Genomic DNA, 19,327 nt, shown 5'->3' on the forward strand with positions numbered 1-19,327 from the left:
AAAAATTTAAAATGTCAAACTGTCTCTATTCTTATTTGCCCATTTTTTTTTTTTTTGCTGCTCTACTTATCTGTATTTACTTTGTATCAGCATTAGTAGTACTCAGGTTCTATCAAGTAAGAATCAATTGAATAATTGTAATCAATATACTATAAATACATCCTAAATGTAATAAAGCACAATTTAGAAAAAAAATTCTTATGAATGGGTTTCATTGAAAGTAGGTCATTTTTTCTTTGCTGGATAGTACATTTTTCTAGTATTTATAAAGCTTGCTCTGCTGGCAGTTAATTCATGGCCCCAAAATACAGAATATAAATTACTGTTCTTGTTGCATGGAGCAGAGAAACATCTGCTGGTTATTAACATAACATTTGAATCTGACAGAATTCAGTTCTGGTTTGTAAAGTTTATTACAAAAATTGTGTGTGGTTAATTCAGAAGCTTTAGTGTTACTTTTTATTGTGGTGCTTAAAATTATTCTTCTGAAAGTTGTGTATTTTTTTCTTTTAAAATTTTAAAAATTTTTCTTTTTTTCTTTTCTTTTGAGACAAGTTTTCACTCTGTCACCGAGACTGGAGTATAGTTGTGTGATCAAGGCTCACTATAGTGTCAACCTCCATGGCTCAGGCACTTCTCCCACCTCAGCCTTCCTATTAGCTGAGGACACAAGAGTCTCCCTATGTTGCCCAAGCTGGTCTCAGAGTCTCAGACTTCTGGGCTCAACCAATCCCCCTGCTTCTGCCTCTCAAAGTGCTGGGATTATAAGTGTGACCCACCATGCCCAGCAAAAAGTTTCTTTTTTGAATAATTTTTTAGAATTAAAATAGGTTATTAAAACCACAAACTTCTCATCTATGAGGCCTATTTGGTTTTTAATTTATTTTAGTTATTATTTATATATTTATATCATTATCTTTGTTGATGAGTTGTAAGATGACTTAATTTTGCTCATTTGCAAACCCCTCAGGACTTCCTAAGGAGAGCTCTCCTTAGAGAATTCCCTTCTTCTATTATTGGTGTCCCTGTTGTATCTTATACTACTGATGCTAAGGACCTCCATATAAGCATGGCCTTCTTTATCTACAAGAAGAAAAATAGAAGGAAAATACTAATATAAATCTTCACCTTTTAGAAAATCTTATCTTTATGAAAACAGTTGACAAGATGACCACCTGTAAGATGTCACAAGTAAAAGTCAAAGACAAAACCTCATAAATATTTTATAGACATACTACTGTATTCTGTTACTACTAATTTGAACTCTGTTCTAGGTACAATATACAATCAATGCTAACATTTAAGGATATTATCAACAGAGGCAGGAGAGAAAAATGTGTGTTTTCACTCAAGGTTTATATCTGGCATTCTTAACATTTTTCTTGAGGTATTTGCCCCAATATACCAGAAATATGCAAATACTATGACAAAGAAATATATGAGTGTTTTCAATATTCTGGAGACAAGACCATAGTCATGTTCATAAATTACCTTCTATAACGTTTATCTGTTATTAATCTAAAAATAAATACACTTATCTGATGTAAGTTGTTCCTAGAAAGGGGAAAACATAATCACTTTATTATTTGACAATAAGATAATTGCAATTGAAGCTGAAATGCATTGAATGCTTTTAAAGATATATTTCTCAAGATTTAGATAATTTTTTAAAAATTAGTTCTTCTCGGCTGAAATTAGCAGTCATAAAATGATATAATCAAGGGAAGCAAAGTTTAAAAAAGGCCAAGATTCACTTTAAAACAATATATCTTTTAAATGACACACCCAGGAAAAGTTATCTCAATTCTATTTCAGGGTTTTCCAATTTAAGTCCCCTTCATATTGCATATTATGTTTCTTCTTCCATTAATTAATCAACTCATGAAAGTTTAGATCACCCTCTTTGTCACATTTCCAAACAACCATTGTCAATTTCTGCTTCTGACAAAATGAAATAGATGCACATATTCTATTCCTTCTACTAAGTTCAATTAAAATTATTGTACATTACATGTAAAACAAACGTAAGAAGCCTCTGAAAAGTGGAAAGAAAAATGCAGACCAGTTAAGGAAATCAGGACCTGAGGAATCATTATGGCGCTGAGTTTCCTGGGTTTTCTTTTTGCTTCATTTTTCTACAACGTGTAGTTGAAGCAGCTGGTGAATCAGAATAGCCAATGGACACAGATAATAAAAGCCCTACCAGGACAAAGAAAGCAATCAGGAAAAGACAGTAAACTTTTGTACGATAATTGTTTTAGTCTAGTCCAATACTGCATGGAAAACTGGGTGTCAGACCCAATGAAACAATCAAAGACTGAATGGTGATCTAGATCTCTACCCTGGCAATGCTGTAGAGAGGTGGCCCAATACTCTGCTGTTACTATCAAAGAAGACTATCAGGGTGCCAGAATTTTCCACCCTGACTGCAGGTAATATAGTGCTTCCTTTCTGGAAATCAGTGGAGACCACAAAAGGAACCTGGGGTCCCACCTTCACTGGCAGTAAGGTGTGCTCCTACCCCTCACTTCTCGGGTAGTGTAAGAGGTTGCTTAGTGGAGAGTCAAGATTTTCACAATTGCGCATCAGAAATGAGGCCACTCTCAACTGCAGTGCCAAAGAAATCCATGTGGGGGCCAGGCGCGGTGGCTCACGCCTGTAATCCCAGCACTTTAGGAGGCCAAGGAGGATGGATCACGAGGTCAGGAGATCGTGACCATCCTGGCTAACATGGTGAAACCCCGTCTTTACTAAACAAACAAACAAACAAACAAACAAACAAAAAACAAAAAAAAATAGCCGGGTTTGGTGGCGGGCGCCTGTAGTCCCAGCTACTCGGGAGGCTGAGACAAGAGAATGGCGTGAACTTAGGAGGCGGAGCTTGCAGTGAGCTGCGATCGCATCACTGCACTCCACCCTGGGCAATAGAGCGAGACTCTGTCAAAAAAAAAAAAAAAAAAAAAGGAAAAAGGAAGAAATCCGTGTGGGGACTAAAAACTCCCACTCCTGCAATGTGGCAACAAGGACCTCCTCACCGGGGTGCTGATAAAAGCTGAGTGAAAAATCTACATCTGTTTGATGGTATTAAGGTAGAGTTCCCCTTTCTCTTGCTGTTAACAGTGTTAGAAAAAAGCCCGTTTGTAAAGGCTTAAATAAAATAAAATCTTATAACAAAATATGAAATGTCAATTTTCAATCAAAAATCATTTATATAAAGAAATAAGAAAACCTCAAACTGAAAAAATCAATAGGTGCCAACAAAAGATGACCGATTTTGGTTTTATATAACCGAAATTTTAAGACAGCTATAATAAGAAAGCTCCAAGAAACACTTTATAACGTGCTTGAAACAAATGAAAAGCCCCAATAATAAAATGGAAAATCACATCAAAGAAATTGAAGCTACAAAGAAGAACTAAAAGAAGAATATTGGTACTGAGTAAAGCAATAAACAAAATAGAAACCTTTTTGAATGGGATCCAGAGCAGAATGGAGAAGATAGAGGAAAGGATCCATGAACAGGAAAATAAGACAATATAAATTACCTAATCTTAACAACAGATTTAAACTAGACTGAAATAAATAATAACAGAGACTCAAGATCTGTAGGATAACAATAAGAATCTAACATTCTAACTTTTTCTCTCTGAAAGTCCCTGACATGATAATGAAAAGACAAGCTACAGATTGGAGTAAAATATTGCAAGTTACTTACCTGGTAATGGACAAATATCTGGAAAATATTTTTAAAAACTCTCAAAAAACAGTAGTAAAAAAAACTAATTAGGACAATTAGGAAATGAGCAAAAGACATGAGGAAACATTTTACCAAAGATGCTTGGTACATCCGTAGATGGCAAATAAGTACATGAAAGGTATTCAGAATTGTTAGCTATAAGGAACATCCAAATTTAAAACCTGTTAGAATTGCTAAAATAAAAAATAGTGACACCACCAAATGCTAGCAAGAATGCAGAGAAACTGGATTATTCAGACATTGCTGATGGGAATGTAAAATGGTGCAGCCACTCTGGAAAGAAGTTGAGCAGTTTCTTAAAAATAAACATATAAACCAACAAAAACCATGAAATTACCATACAGCGTAGCTACTGCACTCTTGGGTCTTTATCCTATAGAAATTAAGATGTAAGTTCACAGAAAAACCTGTACATGCGTTTTTGTAGCAGCTTTATTTGAAGTAGCCCAAAACTAGAAGCAACCAGTTTGTCCTTCAACAGGTGAATGATTGATCAAACCGTATTGTATCCATAACATGAAATACTACTCTGCAAAAAAAAAAAAAAATTGACATGCACAATAACTATCTCCAGATAATCATGCCCATGGAAAAAAAAATGCTAAAAGTTTATATACTATATAATTCCAATTATATACCATTCTTGAAATAGCAAAATTATGGATATGAATTACAGAATAGTGATTACCAAAGATTTAGAAGGTGGTGTGGGTGAGAGAGAAGAGGGTGTAGTTTAAAGGGCAAGATGAGAGATTCTTATGATAATGAAAATTTTCCGTATTTGACCATATCAACCTCACTATCAGGTTGTGATGTTGTACTATAGTTTTATAAGATGTTACCACTGGAAAAACTGGTTAAAGATACATAGAATCTCTCCATATTATTTCTCACAACTGCAAGTTAATCTCTCTCTCTTTCTTTCTCTCTTCTATCCATCTATATATATGTATATATATGTATTTATTTCTAAATATATATGTATTTCATATATACATATATATGAAAATGTATGAAATGAAAAAAGAGATACACACGTTGACCATTGTTCAAATGCTAATGTGAATATCTGCTTCTGCTTTTCATTGATTTCAGAATATATACAATAAAAATATTTTTTCTCTCTCTGTTTTTTGCTTTCTGTTATAAAAAGAGTTATCTATGTTGAGTTTTTGCAGTATACTTGAAGAAAAATATTTACTAAAAAGAGTTACTTACTTGTTCAGCAGACAACGAATATGGAATATTTTGTTTAACCTGTGCCTTCAGATTTAGTAAAGAAGAACCAGTATTTAGCACTATTTGAAGTCAGATAGTTTTACCCTAAAGCTCAAACTCTTAACTATATGGTTTATTCCTTCACTCAATCATCATTCATATTTTGACAAACTTACAAAATATATATCTACTCTGAACTATTTATTGAGTTTCAGATCCATAAAACAGCTTCATAATGAATATAAAGTAGCTACCAAAATCTTAGATGTTAAAGCTGGACTCATCAGAATATCAGAGTGGACTGTAATATCATACTGGGTTTGTATCCCTGCTCTATCAATTACTAGTTGTGTAAGTTTATATATGTTATTTTTTTAAATCTAAATATCACAATTTCTTTATGTGTAAAAGAGGTGAAAAATTACTACTATTATACAGGAATTTTGTGGGAGTTGACAATATATGTTAAGCACTAAGTGCCTGGCACATAATGCTATATCAATGTGAATTATTTTTGACATTTTATTGTTATCATTATTAAGAGAAGTAGCTATATAATTATTTATTATGTCCCCGTTTTCTCCCTGTACTTTACTTTCATTATTTCTGAAGTCAGGGTGTTTAATGATCCTTCATTTAGTGGCCAAGTAAATCTTGAACATTAATCTTTTTATGTTCTATTGTGGCATGTAATCAATCTTTAAATATTGTTTATATTTTCTTCTTAATATATCTGAAATGTGTTCTCTTCTTTAAATTGTATAATGTTAGCACCATTAGGTTGCAGACAATAGGAATTAATATTTGTTCACTAAATATTGCATATATTTCAAATTGGCAGGAGGGTCTGAAATCAGCCTTAGGAATGGTAAGAAAATAGATCAATTTTAGGGCATTGAGTGATAGAAACTCCTCAACAGCATCCTGGGGTAACCACCTCCAGAATGAATGAATGAACTCCACTATGCATGGGTTCTAATGTAGACAAAATGTCTTTAGGAGTTAGCCAGTTCCCCGGAGATATGATATCAGGGGCTCAAATGTGGTTGTATTTATTCACAAATTAAGTACTCAGCATCTTTGATAAAGTTTTTTTTTTTGTGTGTGTGTATGTTTATTTTCCTTTCATTTTTGATACTAGACATCTGTAACTCTGTGGACACCGCTTACAATTCCAATTCGAAAACTCTATGGTGGCTAAGAAAGGTGTTCAATTGGTATCCAGTGAATGGGCCTTCCTCATCTTCAGAGTAGGAAGACTTTTTCTGTAATATTTGTACTGGGTGAAACTTTCTCTTACTCTGGGCCCTTTCTGTGCGGCTATTTTGCTTACTGCTTTTCAAAAATTCCCTGTCACCCATATACCAAATGTGCTTCCTTATGGTTCCTGGTCAGTGCCTATAAGTCTGAACAGATACCAAACTTAGACAAACTGGATCTTTCAAGTCTACCCACTGAGAGGGTTTTACTTTTCCAGTGCCCTTTAGGACCACTTTCACTTGAGACTATAACACCAATAAAATACTGTCTGCTTTTCATCTAGTAAAGACTAGACGGGGAGGTTCTTACATATGAAAATGGGATGGAGATGTCTCAATGGCTGTCTGTGAAAGTTTTCATGCTTTACCTGCATACACATGAGCCATCAAGGGTGGCACTTCTTTCTTCACTTTCAGTGCTCTTTTAACACATATTCCACAACACTGGATTGCCCATGCATATTAATCATAATAATCTACCATTCTTTATTAAATCTGTTTATTTGCAAGGAATACAGGGTGCCTGCATGTTTTAACAAAGGAATTTCATTAATATAGTGTATCAGCATGACATCTTGTGAGAGCCTGAATTTCTCAATGTTGATATGATTAAGTTGAGGCACTGAACAAGAGAATCAATATTGATAAAGATACTTTAGCAAGAGTACACTGTTATGTTTTCTAGATAAAAGCACCCTTTAAATATTTTCTCTTCAAAAAATTGAGTAAAAGCATTCCTTAATGCAGCATCTATACTGATTTATTCCAATTAAGGACCAAGTCTGCCATAACAGCTTAAATTTGAAATACTTAATTAAACTTCTTAACATTCATTATCACACTTCAAATTTCATTTCATCCTTTTTCTGATATAGATAACTTAGAAAATAAATCAAGATTTATTAAAAATCACAACGAATGTTTATTTCAAGTATTTGATGGTATGGACAACCAATTGAAAAGCAAGTCTGCAATAACAGCTTAAATTTGAAACAATACTTGTATTATATACTCATGTATTTAATGGTCTGAACAACCTGCATACTGAACTTCAACGATATATAATACTGAAGGAATTTGACACTTTCTAATAGCTTTCCCTAAGAGGAAGTAAAGTAACAAGGGAACCAAGAAATGTTTCAGAGTTCTGACTCGAAGAACATAGAGCTGAGCATAGACAACTATAACCGAAGAACTGAACATTTATAGGAAGAAAATAGGCACAAAGGAAACAACAGAAAACTGGGGATATTTAATCAAAGAAAGCAGAGAAGAAAGGGAGAAGTAATATCAGATGTGATTTGACTGGGGATGTAAATAAATAACCAAATTTGAAGTACTTTGTAGTCTAAGTAAACGTGTTTTTTTCTTCATTCTAAGAGCAGCCATGTAGCAAAGAAAAGGTGTTAAGCACAAAAAAGTTTTAAAACTAATATGATCAGTTTGTGCTTTCATTTAATTACACGTTATTCATGTCACAGTTTAGAAGCCACACCTCCTAACAAACTTCTAGTCTTTGTTACAAATGCACACAAAATATCGTTATTTGGTCCCATTATTTACATTAAAAGCATAGGTTGTTTAATGTTTCATAGTATTTATTAATCAGTTTTATAATTGTTTACCTTTTAAATTTTATTCTAGAACAAAGTTTCTTTGAAAACATAAATGATGTCTTTCACATAGCATGGTTCACAGTAAGAACTCAGTACATTCTTGTCAAATAAATGCTTAAAAGTCAAGTATGCTGTTCATTGTTGTCATATATTGCCATTATTGTCTCCTGTTAGTTATTCCTGTCAGTTACTGTCTCCTGTTTGTGAGCCTCTGTATTGCAGCATATGTTCTAATATCTTATGTCTCACATCTCTCTAGTAATCTAATGGTAGCAATTTTCTGCAACTTTTATCAGACTCTAAGCATCTCATTTGTAAGTGAAAATTATAAAAGAAAAATTAGTGCCAATATAATTTCTAAGTCTCTATGGTATGATTCAAAAGAGAAACTGATCATAACAATGTATCTTCAAGTGATACTCTCTATAATATCTTAATTATAATCTAGTCAATAAATGTTACTGGTTTCCAGTTTAGCAATGTGTTGTATAAAGTTCTTATTTTACTTTCTCACTAAAATTAAAAGAGAAAATAAACAGTTGGAAAGTGAGGTCAAAGATTTCATTATAGATGAAAAAATTAGTCAAGCTAAGAAGATAAGTGTCATGCTGTGTTTTTACTTTATTTTCACTAATTTGTTTTTTGAAATGGGTCATATTTTTCTTTCAACTCTTTGTAAAATAACTGCAATTATACTTTACTATGTTCTATAGCTACCATTAAATTAGGCAAATTAAGAAACAATTTTCACTATTGATTATTTTGAGTGTTACCCACCCATCTTTCATTTTAACTGGTGCACTTTATTTTTTCAAAAAAAGCAATATTACCTAATTTAAGATAACAAGTATATCAATTTTAATTTGTTTTATTTTCATGTTTACTCTTGCCTGAAGTACTCCAAAAACAAAATCTACATGTGATTTACTTACAATTTAATAAAGTATGCTTTATTTTCATATTGGATAACAAGGTTTAAGATTATATAATTTCAAAATAATAGACTTGAAAGACAAGTAAACCCAAAGTAAAATCAATAAGCAAATAAATGACACTTCATCCCAGTTCCTGACTGAAGTCAGACAGCTTATTAATTTCAAGTATATAGTCTACTTCATCCTAGCTCTACCCCACTTCATGTTTAGCTTTCCTTCCTGACTGCTGCTCACTATAGAAAAAATTCCACTATAAACAAAGCTTAAATATTACTGTCAATGAAACAGACATTGGTCTACTACCATTTGCTAATAGAACAGCCTTACATATATTTCTGCATTAGCTTCTGCAGTTGCATAAGGTCTAAACTTTACAATAAAAAACTTATTTTATGTCAATATCTACATCAGTGAATCACTTATTTTATAATTTATGTTGCTTCCATTTCTCTGATAAAATGCTGACTGATACATGGCTAAGGTATATGACAGTTTTTCACTCAATACATATATGTATGTTTAAATATAAGATATAAATACATAGTAGCAACACAACCAAAAATGTCTCTGAGAATTTTAATCAATCTTCATATCTGAGCATTATCAATGGAACAGTACTGAATGTAGATACAATTTACAAAATGCTATCATAAGCTATTTTGCATAATAACTGCCAAATAAAGTTCAGATTAGAAGTGTTCCTCTGAGTTAAACACATAAGAAAAGTCTGTAATTTAACGAAGTTAATTAAATTTACAGTAGTAAAACTGGATCTAATTGAATAATGAATTGAGTAATAAAATATATTACCATATCTTATAAAAAATTGTAATTGAAGAGTCATTTATGGATTAGAAATAGTGAACATTTTAAAACTTGGAAGGTTCATTATTTATCCAGAATCCAGCTCCCACACCAACACAAACATGCAAAAAACACCTTCGTTTAGATTTTTTAAAGACATTAAAAAGTCCCAATATTATAAAACATATTGAAGTATATGTTTATTACTGGTACCTCTGTGAGCAAAGTTGCTTGTAAAACAACACAAACAAATAAACGGTGAAATGGAAAGTAAATGACTGGGCATGTAGAAAACATTACATTTAAAAAAAAGCTGCTACACCAAAAATACCACTATTAACAAAGTTTAAGTATTACTGATAACAAAATGGAAAAGGCAAAATTTATGAGACAAATATCACAATACTGAATAAGAACTTTCATATAGGCATTAAGAAGATTAAAGAAAAAAGCAAATCATCTTTTAAAAAATAACCCTTGTAATGAAGAGACAAATAAATGTTGATAAGTTGATTAAATGTTGATTAACATTTAAGACTAGTATAACGTTAACACTATAACTTCTTAAGGATAGGAAAAGCAAAAATACTTAAAAATCACCATTATTTTGCTTAATATCTTAAATTTTTGGAGGTCTTACAGATATTCAGGTCATAGTAATTATTTTTGAATACCAAGTCCCCAGCTTGTTTTTTCTTTTAGTAGGGCATTAATTCTTGAATATGTCCTCCATCTGTCTCCCAATCTAAAATATACATCCTAGCCTTCATCAAGCCCAGCCCCATGTAATATCAATTGTTTTTCAGGTAAAGTGCTTTGTGGCACTAATTTGGGTAGTGTACAAAATTCTTGATTTTGTTCTTACCACATGAGAATCAAAGGATACTTAGAAAAACTAAACATGGCTGTCAATTATTCATATAATCAGCAACTTTTCAGGTTATTATGTAGTCAGCCTACAAGATCATTCCTTCCCAGAGACCTCACATAGTAAAGATACATCCGTGGGCCATACCATTTCCGTTAATATGTCTAAGATACTTCATTTTGTCTAGAATATTAAGATAGTAAAAAACACAGATTTGCCTCCACTATGTTTACCTCTTCGTTTCTTAACCTAATCCTTTCCATGATTGAATCTCAACAACTCTTTACTAACAAAGCATGCAACCAACTATACAATGCTTCAAACTAAATAGTTTGTACTTGAACTATCTACTTAAATACTAATTTACAATTTTCAAAGAATGATAATAGATTGTTTCAAATACATATATATATATATATATATATACACACACTCAACTTTCATAAATGCTGCCAAGACTTTAAAGAAGTAAAGAGAGAGATACCAATTTTGCTAATGTGAAAGTAGTTGTTAACCTTAGCAAGAACAATTTTATTGCAGGCATGGAGGCGGAAACTAGATCAGGCTGGTTGAAGTGTAAGGAGCAGGTAAAGAAAGAAAAAAACTGGTAAAATTAAAAAAAAAAGTCCTATGAAATTAAAGTGATATTTTTATTTCTTTTCCTCTCTGCCCACTCTCTCTATCCTCATTCATTACTAATGACAGTAAAAATCTATAAAGAATTTTTATTCTAGTAGAAAGGATCTAATAGGAAAGTTAAAGTTAATAATATAGAACAGAAAGGCAGTATCACAAGGGAAAATATATTTGAACAGATGAAAAGTGTTGGAATTGAAAGCAAATATTCAAGAAATGCCCTGTTACGGGAAGTCAGTGTAGTAAATTTGTATAATTTTATGTGTCTTGGCATCCATTTTGAATATAGATTTAACTTTCTCATACTAGAAGCAGGGCTCAGTCACCTTTGACAGTTTTCAGTTCTATACCACATCCAAAGAGCTCGAGAAAATGGCCAGAGATAAGGACTTAGAGGCATTTCCACCTAGTAGACTGAGCTCCTCCCTTTCCTGTGCTTCCTTTAAAGGGATCATTCACCCATTTGTCCTTGAACTTGAAGTGACCACACCCTATTTTTTTATATATACTGCAAGTTGCCATGTTCCCTCTCTTGCTGCCTGATTCTTCATTTCTGCCTTGCATTACTTGAGAATGGAGAGCTGTCTTCCCCACTCATTGCAACTTCCCTGCCCAGGATCTGTAAGTTTAAAAAGAAAATGTGATAATGTATTAAATTTGTACCTTCTATCAAAATACTAGGGGTTGCTCCAGGCCAGTTTTTCCCCAGGATGCTGGGGAAAACACAAGGTCAGACTCTTAGCTCCAGAGAAATAGTCAGGCAGGCATAAACTGGACACGAGTCAGGCAAAAGTGTCTGCCAGGATAAATAAACTTTTCATGTGAGGGATGTCCTGGTCATGGGCAACTAGGCATTAAGACATCCACTAGTTGAAAGAAATATCCCATAAAAGGTATACTGTAAAAAGTCACATTCAGCTCCCCTTTATTTTCCATTAGGGCTTGGTACTCTCATACTGGAATGCTAATTTAGTTGGTGGATCTCAAAACAGGCAGATGCTCATACTTTAAGAAAAGTGAAGAAGCAGATGTGATATACTTAGTGGTAGAAATATTGGGTGTAATACCTGATAGCTTCTATTTTCTTAATAGATTAGAGATATCTGAAGAAAGATCAGATGAAAAAAATTATTCCTGAGAGGAAAAAGAGCTAAATATGAGAATTCCATGGCAATAATAATTAGTATTTAAGTTTATGATAATAAGATGTAAGTAAAACCAATCTTTTCTCATTTTACTTTACTCAATAGTGTTCAAATGCTTAATTGCATGCAAAATAAAGGTCAATAGTTGAATTTATCCAGGTGAACAGGAGAAAAGTGAATGCTAGGGCTTAAAGAATTATATTTTCCAGGGAGTGACTAAAACAATGGATAATGCAGTTTAAGAAGGGCAAATAGTTAATTGTAACAAGTTGTGACTGATGCTAATTGTTAGATAAATCATTAAAAGTGTTTGTGTCTGTGTGTGTGTGTGTACTCTATGCTGACTTATGTTATATAAATTACTGACGTAAAAACATCATAGGGAAATAATATAATAAAACACAAACCTCTATACTATATCTGACCTTGCAATTAAACCCTACAAGATCAATTATCCTTTCAATTATCATATATTCACCATCAAATTTCATCACTTTTTTGCAAATATTTGAATGATACATGTGTTAGATTAAATGTCCCCCAAAACCCTTGTGTTTCCTGTCTTAATAAATCTTTACTTTTCATCATAATTATCAAGAAATTCTGCAACAATAAAAAGTAAGAACAACTACACACTGTTTAGTAAATACAAGGTGAGGTACCCAGATCCCATGCCTCCAGGGCTGAGGCACTCATTTGCCCAGATGCTGGTGCGATATTGGCAATATTGACAGCTGTTAGCGGAGTTCCTTGCTGGGAAATTTACTGGATTGAAGAGGCTACTTCACCTAAGTTTATGTCTCCGTGTGAAAGAGTTCAGTGATTTCTTGATGGGCATGTAAATAGCCTGGCTCTTCATCCCAATTACAGACGTGGCTAAAACTCTAACCCATCTCCATATTTTCTCATCAGGTGAACTGAGAACTTTTAGGCAACTGCCTTGTAGTTCAAGCTCTTGCTCTGCTTGACTTCACTTACTATACTTCCTGAAAGTTTTTGGTCTTTAACTTTTACAATTATTTGAATATCAATTTTCACCCCAGAGGCTGCTTCAAGAGAAACCAGACCTATGATTTCTGGTCCAAAGTTTAGTCAGGATAAAGTAGTTAGAAAGTGGACTTTTACATGTGATTTTGTAGCTTGTTTACCCAATGCCTCACTGGCAATGTGGTCCTCATGAGTTGTGATAGGTGGAGCATGCAACAGTAATATGTTTGTTAAAATTTTCATTAATGGTGACCTGCAATAGTTTATCAGTGCAAGAGAATTATCTTGAGTATAAAATATATTATGTACTTGAGAAATAGTGAGATATAATAATTATATGACACTTAAATCTTGGGAAATCCATGCTTTGCAGGAAAGAGAAACACTTAGGAAAATTAGTCATCCATTAAAAGTTAAGTTTGAAAGCCAGAAGATATCTCTGGCCACATACAGAGAGACTCCAGTATCCTGCACCAGAAAGCAGAAATAGATGAGGAGAAGGCAAAGAAAGAAATTATAAGACAAGCAGTTATAAAGGTGTTGTTTTATTCTCAATTAGGCCATCATGTATGTCTGATCAAGCCCCTGTTAAAAAGATGAAAGCCTAAGATTGGAGACGGTATAACTGGATCAATGCAGATGAAAATATTAACTCAAACATATTCCTTTGAATCATTTTACCCCATTGAATCAGTCAATTTCTCCCCGATAAAGATAGTGCTAGTACCTTGCCTAAGAAAAATATGGACACCTCTACCTTGCAAAACAACACATATTTACCTTAAAAGGCACTTGTTTTATTTTCTTGGTCAACAGATTAAAAACTAGAGCTGTTTCAAGATGTAATACAGCCAGGAAAGTTTGATATCTTCTATGATTAAAAAAGGTCAAAACTTTGAAAGAGCCACAAAACATTCAACATGCACCAGCAGGGGCAAAGAGAGTATAGCAAATCCTGAGAAATGGGGAGAATTAGATTTCCAAAGTTACCACATTATTAGATTAAAGTATAGTTTTCAACAACAACAAAATTACAAGGCATACAAATAAGCAGGAAAGTATGACCCATTCAACAAAAAAAATAATAAACCAACAAGTCTGTCCCTTTAAAACACCTGATGGCAGATCTACTAAACAAAGATTTAAAATAACTATTTAAAGATGTTCAAATAATTAAAGAAAGTTAAGAAAATATTGTTCAATCAAAAAATAAACATCAATAAAATTAAAAAGAAACTGTAAAGATAAAAGGTACAAATACAATTTTAAGAAATCACTAAAGGGATTCAATGGCAGATTTAAGAATCAGAAGAAAAAAAAATCAGCATTCTTAAAGATAAAACAATAGAAATAATTAATCTGATGAGCAGAAGAAAAAAAATTGAAGAAAATTAAACAAAGTTGTGGAACACAATCGAGTGGTCCAAAATACACACTCTGGAATTCTTGGAAGGAGAAGACACAGAGACAAGGACAAAGAAAAAATTTGAATAATTAATGGCTGAAAACTTCCAAATTTCATAAAAGACAGGAATATAAACACTGAAGAATCTTAAAGAACCGCAGGTAGGATGACTTCAAAGGAAACCACACCCAGACACATTATAAGCAAACTTTCAAAAAACAAAGGGAATTTTGAAAGCAGCAAGAGAGAAGCAAATCATTACATCAAAGTGACCCTCAATAAGATGAACAGATTTCTGATCAGAAACTTAAGAGACCAGAAGGCAGGGAGCTAACATATAAAAAAGGTCTAAACAAATCTGTTAACCAAAAATCTTATCTTCAACAAAACTTTCTCTCAAAAGTGAGGTAGAGATTAAGACATTCTGAATAATCGAAAACAGAGGAAGCATGCTACCAGTAGTCCTGTCTTTCAATAAATGTTCCAGGGAGTCATGCATGGTAAAATAAATAGCACCAGAAAGTAATTTGAATCTTTGTGAATAAATAAAGATTTGAATATAGGTAAGTAAATACACAGGCTATTATAAAGATTAGTATTATTGAAACAATAGTTTGTAACTCTACTTTCTGTTTTCTATATAATTTGAGAGACTAATACATGTTTAAAACAATCTGAGAGCTAGTATTATTGTAGCTATGGTTTGTTGTAACACCACATTTTGTCTTTTATGTAAATTAAGAAACTAATGTCTTTAAAATAATCATTAGTTTATATTTTTGGACACACAATGTATGAAGACGTAATTTTATGACATCAGCAACTAAAGGAAGTATTGGAATTAAATTTGAAAAATTTAAATGAGTGTATTAACTTCAGTATGCTAAATATAATTCCTGTTGTAACCACAAAGAAAATAGGTAAGTAACATATACAACAGGAAATCAAGTAGGAATTTGAACGTTTCACTACAAACACACACACACACACAAATGAACATATTTGCCACAGTGCCTCCTTTATCTATAGCTTCGAAATATCTCCTGTAGAAATGGCAAGAAAATGGCTTTGAAGGTGCCTCCTTCTCCATAACGAAGGCAGAAAATCAAAATTGTTCTTGTTTTCCGAGGAGAATAGCAAAGATTTGTACCATTCTTAACAACCTAAAGGATACAGGGATGGTGAGATACTATTATATCACACTTAACTCACCAGTCTGTTTTTTATGAAAAACCTGAGAGATCATTGGGTATGACAGTAGATTATCACAAATACAATTCATTTGTTCCCAAATTGCAGCTGCTGTACCAGATGTGCTCTCTTTGCTAAAGCATGTAACTACAGCCTCAAGTACACATAATGCATTTATTACCCTGAAAAATTCATTATTAACGACCTCTATCAAGGAAATAAATTAAAAACAGTTCACAATGGACACTGTGAACAGCCATGAATATTTATATCTCATTTCAGTGCTATATTAACTTGCCACTGGCTTCTGTTACAGTATATTATAAAACAAAATGTCATTTGGGAACTCTGTGGAACATCACTTTTTTGTATGATATCTCTGTTTTCGTGTTAATCAGATCAGATAATTTTAAAAATGACTATAATTTAGAGGTCTTGGTAATGCAAATGCTGTGCAAAATTAGAAAATAATTCCTATCAAGTTTCAGGAATCTATCACATCATGAGAATGTTAGCAGTCCTGGTAATCTGAGGTTACACAGATAGGCCCAAAAGTGTAAAAGACAAATGGTTGTACCTCATTCTTTCCACCACTAAGAAGGAATCACCATGCTTCTCAGGCTTCTTTGGATTCTGGAGGCAGCATATTCCGGATTTAGGGATATAAATTTGACTCACGTAACCAATGAACAAAAAGACTGGTGGGGCCAATATAAGCTGTAAGGTGGCTTAGAACCTCATTTCATTTCTCCTGCAGTTGTGCTGGCTTCTGTCTGTCTGCTCAGACCTATGATGAAACAGGTGTTTCTTAGAATATATGGAGAAAAATGTAGGCTTCTTTAATAAGTGGACCCACTGAAATATGCCTACAAGCCCTGCCTCTCACAAAAGACTGCAGTTGCATTACCACTTCCTTAGAGATACCTCTGAAAGACAGCAGTGAAGGAAGCCCAACCCCCTCTCTCCTTCCCCCAGCAGGGAAGAACTTTGTATGATGCATTTCATCACCCACAAGTTGAAAGAGGCACATAGTGTATGCAACCCAAAGCATATGGAATTAATAAAAAAAACTCTCAGATTTTTTCCAAACTCAGGGCAATTTTTGGAGGTTATATTTGTGTAAATTAAAACATCTGCAGTTTTGATGTGCTAAGATTGAAAAAGAATGAAATAGGATGAAACCAAATCAAATACCTAGACTTTCAGAATTCATAGTTTTACACACAAAAGCCTTGTCATCTAAACTTAGTCTTTTATTCCCATCTCTTTAAAAGCCACTCACACATAGGTATCCAGCCTCAATTTCAACATATGGAAATAAGGTATTTTCCTCCCTTAAATTTGTATCAATGACTGGATTATTCATTTTTACTCCCAAAGACATTACTATTTTCTAGACCACAAAAATTAAAACCTTCAAAATATATCTTCTTTGTTGTATGTCTTATTTTATATTTAGTATATGTGCTCTTTTCTGATATTAATGGTCTGTTAACATTGCTGATCATCAGGAAATCATCCATTGCAATGTGTGCAATTTATGTAGGCAGTAGCATCTGAGGTACACATTTTTTATGACTGAAAATGGTCACACCTTTCCTTCTGCTAGGATTTTTATACAGACATTTGTACTAATCAACTTAGCATGTGAATTAGTTTGTGATTTGCTGTTAAGTCTATACCTATTTTTAGTGCTCCTTGGCTTTCACATCCTGTAGAAACAGCTTGTGTCTAGGGTGAAAGGTGGTTTACCAGAGCATGATTTAAAAAACATATTTATGAAATATATTTATGTTTATCTTTGTGTTGTGTCTCAGAATGTGTACCTTTGCAAGTTCTTATTGCTCTCCTGTCCCTCTCTTAGCACTTGTTATTTGAAATTCATTACTTTGGCTGAGGGGCTTAATGGGGCCCCTGTATGTGGCTTGGTTTGAATCTTTGTGGTTGTAATAAAGTTATCCTTCCCATGGTATCACCACTTCTATAGTCTAGACAGTGGAGACTTCCTTTTCCTGTCTCTCCCCTGCCTGTCCTACTTGGGGTCAGCACTTAAACTCACAATTCCTTCCTGAATTGTGCTCACTCTCCCTCTTCTTCCCTTCTCCCAACTGTAATAAGTATTCATCAATATCTTAAGGTCAGCAGTGTTCCATTTTGTCACCAATTAAGGCTTTTATTCCATAATGGAGAGAGAAAAAAATTTCTTCACTGCAGAAATTTCTGTTGAACAGAACTAATACAGAGTTCATTGCCCACACTGCAGCTGTGTTCACTTTTTGAGAACTCTTCTCTGTCTACCTGCTGAGTCCATGGCAATGGGCCTATAAGGGGGGAGTGCAGACTCCCCTCTTTCTGGACCTTCAAGGATTTTCCCACTGTCTTATAAGCCCAAACACAGCCTTTTCCAATTTGTTACCGGTCTTAAATGAATTTTTTTTTACTAGTATCACTTTTTACCTGTATCTACCTTCAGATGATCATGGGTGCAAATCTCCTTTCTCCCTGGAGATACTTTCTATCCTTAGATTTTGGGCCAGTTGTTTTCTCTCTTTCCATAGGTTTTTCAAATCTATGAAAAATTTGAAAGAAATGTCAACAATTAACTGTGGATTTCTTCTAAGGATTGGAGAGAAGCTACTCCTTCTCTCCAGATCCTAGGGTAGAAAATAATTATCTTTGTGTCTGAAGAATACTATCTTTTGTTACACATAAAACTCTACATATAGTTTGTCTTCTCCGAGCACATTAAAAATGTCAGTCCTTTGACTATTGGCCTTACATTTTTTTTATATACTAAGAAAAAGTATGTGCTTCTACCTAATCTCAATCAGATTATCACACTTAAGAAATTTAATAGAGCCTTAAAGGGCAGAACAAAATGACCCACCTTCTCCCTGTGACCCCCTGAACACCACATTGAATAGCCATCCATACAAGGAAGCACCTTCATAAGAGCCTAAAATCAGGTGAGCAATCACAGTATCTGGTTTTAACGTCATATCAAGGAAAGAGAAACTGAAGAGCGTAGAAAGGACAGTCTTGAATTGCAGATAAGACAGCTCTCCCATCTCCCAGCAAAAACGAGTGACTCAGAGACAGAATCTGTGTGCTTGATGGGTAGAAATCTCAGTAATGGTGGGATTTTGCATTGGAACTAGTGCTTAATGTTGCCCTGTCACCGCAGAATGAAATGCAGAACAGAATTCAGCCAGAGCCCATAGGGACAACATTTAGACCAGCCCTAGCAGGAGGGAAAGTTTCCATCCTAGTGGTTGAAACCTGAGTTCTAGCTAGCCCCACCACCACAGGCTAAAGTATTCTGGGGTCCTAAATGAATTTGAATGGTGGCTGTGAGGACTACAATTTCTAGGGAAGTCCGGGTGCTGTGCTGGATTCAGAGCCAGTAGATTTGGGGTATATATTACCTATGAGATACCAGTGGGGCAGCCAAAAAAGTGTTTGTGTCACCCCTCCCCCAACCCAAGGCAGTGTAGCTCACAGCTCCA

The 19,327-nt window shown here is 33.7% G+C and overlaps 1 long non-coding RNA gene across 7 annotated transcripts in view; it reads right to left on the bottom strand.

The window, feature by feature from the left end:
- LOC105377253 (uncharacterized) overlaps window positions 1-19,327 on the bottom strand; it is a 66,503-nt gene that overhangs the window by 12,704 nt on the left and 34,472 nt on the right. For 4 of the 7 annotated variants that reach the window (NR_188411.1, NR_188412.1, NR_188410.1 and 1 more), the window contains exon 1: window positions 16,399-16,715. The exons of 2 other annotated variants lie outside the window; for them this stretch is intronic. This is a non-coding gene — a long non-coding RNA (uncharacterized LOC105377253). Of the gene's footprint in view, window positions 1-16,398; window positions 16,716-18,278; window positions 18,391-19,327 lie in introns of those variants that run through there. One more of the 7 variants, NR_188409.1, reaches the window with a different exon arrangement.

This window comes from Homo sapiens, chromosome 4 (genome assembly GCF_000001405.40).
Source record: "Homo sapiens chromosome 4, GRCh38.p14 Primary Assembly".
NCBI lineage: Eukaryota > Metazoa > Chordata > Mammalia > Primates > Hominidae > Homo > Homo sapiens.